This window comes from Homo sapiens, chromosome 12 (genome assembly GCF_000001405.40).
Source record: "Homo sapiens chromosome 12, GRCh38.p14 Primary Assembly".
Classification (NCBI taxonomy): domain Eukaryota; kingdom Metazoa; phylum Chordata; class Mammalia; order Primates; family Hominidae; genus Homo; species Homo sapiens.
In genome coordinates this window covers 34,117,057-34,119,299 of record NC_000012.12, presented here as the reverse complement: position 1 = coordinate 34,119,299, position 2,243 = coordinate 34,117,057, and the positions used below count along the sequence as shown (strand labels likewise).

The 2,243-nt window shown below is 37.0% G+C and overlaps 1 annotated feature.

The window, feature by feature from the left end:
• Positions 1,159 to 1,359: a silencer, noted in NCBI's record as "peak1674 fragment used in MPRA reporter construct". NCBI's record gives its function as "represses an SCP1 promoter by STARR-seq MPRAs in K562 erythroleukemia cells {active_cell/tissue: K562}" and the evidence as "EXISTENCE:reporter gene assay evidence [ECO:0000049][PMID:32103011]".

Below are 2,243 nucleotides of genomic sequence, written 5' to 3'. Positions count from 1 at the left end.
CAGTATTATGATAAGACTAAAAACAAAACTCTATGGAGAAATGCCCAGAAGGACTCTTACTTACCAGATCCAAATCCCTTTTCTCGATTCTCTACCCTAAGCCACACTTGGCATCAGCTACAGGCTCCAAATGCTTGGAAAGCACCCTCTGGCCTATATTGGATCTGTGAAGCATGGGCATATCGGCAACTGCTGGCTACATGGACAAGGACATGTGTGTTAGAAACAATCAAGCCATCCTTCTTTTTAATTCCTCTAACGAAAGGGGAATTCTTAGGGTATCCAGTTTATAATAAAAATTAAAAAAAAAATAAAACTAAAAAAACCATAATCACAAAAATAAACACAAATGTCAAAAAAAAAGTAAACATAGAAGACTAAAAAGATAATAAATGGCCTCCAGAAAAAAATCACTAAATATTATGGGCCAGCTACCCAGGTGCAAGATGGGTCATGGGGGTACCATACCCCAATCTATGTGCTCAACCGCATCATAAGGTTACAGGCTGTCCTAGAAATTATAACCAATAAAATGTCAAGGGCACTAAATTTATTGACAATACAAGCAACACAAAAAAATGCTATATATCAAAATAAATTGACTTTAGATTATCTCTTAGTCTCAAAAAAGTAAGTAAAAATTTAATTTAACCAACTGTTGCCTAGAAATTGATAATAATGGCCGAGCTGTCATAAAAATCACAGCTAAAATGCACAAGTTGGCCCATGTTCCAGTTCAGACTTGGTCTGGATGGTCCCTGGATTCCTCGTTTGGAAAATGCTTCTCAACTTTTGGAGAATTCAAAACCCTCATTGGTGGGTTTTTGTTTATTCTTGGCATCTGCCTCATCCTGCCTTGCCTTTTACCTCTGTTTATTAGGAGCATTCAGTCAACTATAGAGACAGTAGTAACCCGATACACTATCCTATCGCACAGTTGATGGCATTAACCAAATATCAGCCACTGCCAGTAAAAGAAGAAGCTCAGCTCCACAAAAAGGTGACATAAAGTGGTGCTTTCTATTAACACCTTTGTTATCAAAAGCACTAAAGGCAGGAAATGGAAGAGGAATTAAGAGAAATTAAAGGATGTGTAAGGAAAAACTCAGTTGTATGTAAGAAAACCCAATTCCCCCTGAGGTCAAGAAAGAGGTGGAATCCTTTAAAAATTAACTGCCTGTTTTTCTGTCTGTGGCTAGTGAGCCTTATCTCTCCCTTTCCCAGGCATTGTGAAGACCCTGTTTCTCTAGCCGTGCAGCTGCAAGGTCACTAGACAGAAAAACTCAAGTCATAAACATGTTTTTTCTTGAAAGGTAAGAAATGATGTAATGCAAGTCTCAATTGAATAACTGTCTTTGTTTCTCTCTTCTGTAATATGCTTCCCCCTGCACAGATCTCCCCCCACCCCACAAAATGCTTAAAAGGTAACTTGACTCTTTGTTCAGGGCTCAGTTTTTTTTGAATGTTAATCTGACTGGGCCAGTACGCCTAAATAATAATAATAATAATCAATCCTCCTCAACCCCTCTTTCTCTCTGATTCCTAAATTATCCCACAACACCAACTTTTTGTTTTATTTATTTTTTGTATTTTGTTGTTGTTGTTGTTTTGTCAATTCTATTTAGTTCTGCTCTGATCTTGGTTATTTCCTTTGTTTGCTGGGTTTGGGTTTGTCTTGTTCCTGGTTCTCTAGTTCCTTGAGGTGTGACCTTAGATTGCCTGTTTGTGCTCTTTCAGACTTTTTGATGTAGGTGTTTAGGGCTATAAATTTTTCTCTTAGCACCGCCTTTGCTGTATCACAGAGGTCTTGAGGATTGTGTCATTATTGTCATTCAGTCCAAAGAATTTTTTTAAATTTCCATCTCAATTTTGTTTTTGACCCAATGCTCATTCAGAAGCAGGTTATTTAATTTCCATGTATTTGCATGGTTTTGAAGATTCCTTTTGGAGTTGATTTTCAGTTTTATTCCACTGTGATCTGAGAGAGTGCATGATACAATTTCAATTTTCCTAAATTTATTGAGAACCTTTTTATGGCCTATCATATGGTCTGTCTTGGAGAAAGTTCCATGTGCTGTTTAATAGAATGTGTATTCTGTGGTTGTTGGATGAAATGTTTTGTATATATGTGTTAAGTCCATTTATTCCAAGGTGTAGTTTAAATACATTGTTTCTCTGTTGACTTTCTGTCTTGATGACCTGTCTAGTGCTGTCAGTGGAGTATTGAAGTCCCCCACTATTAT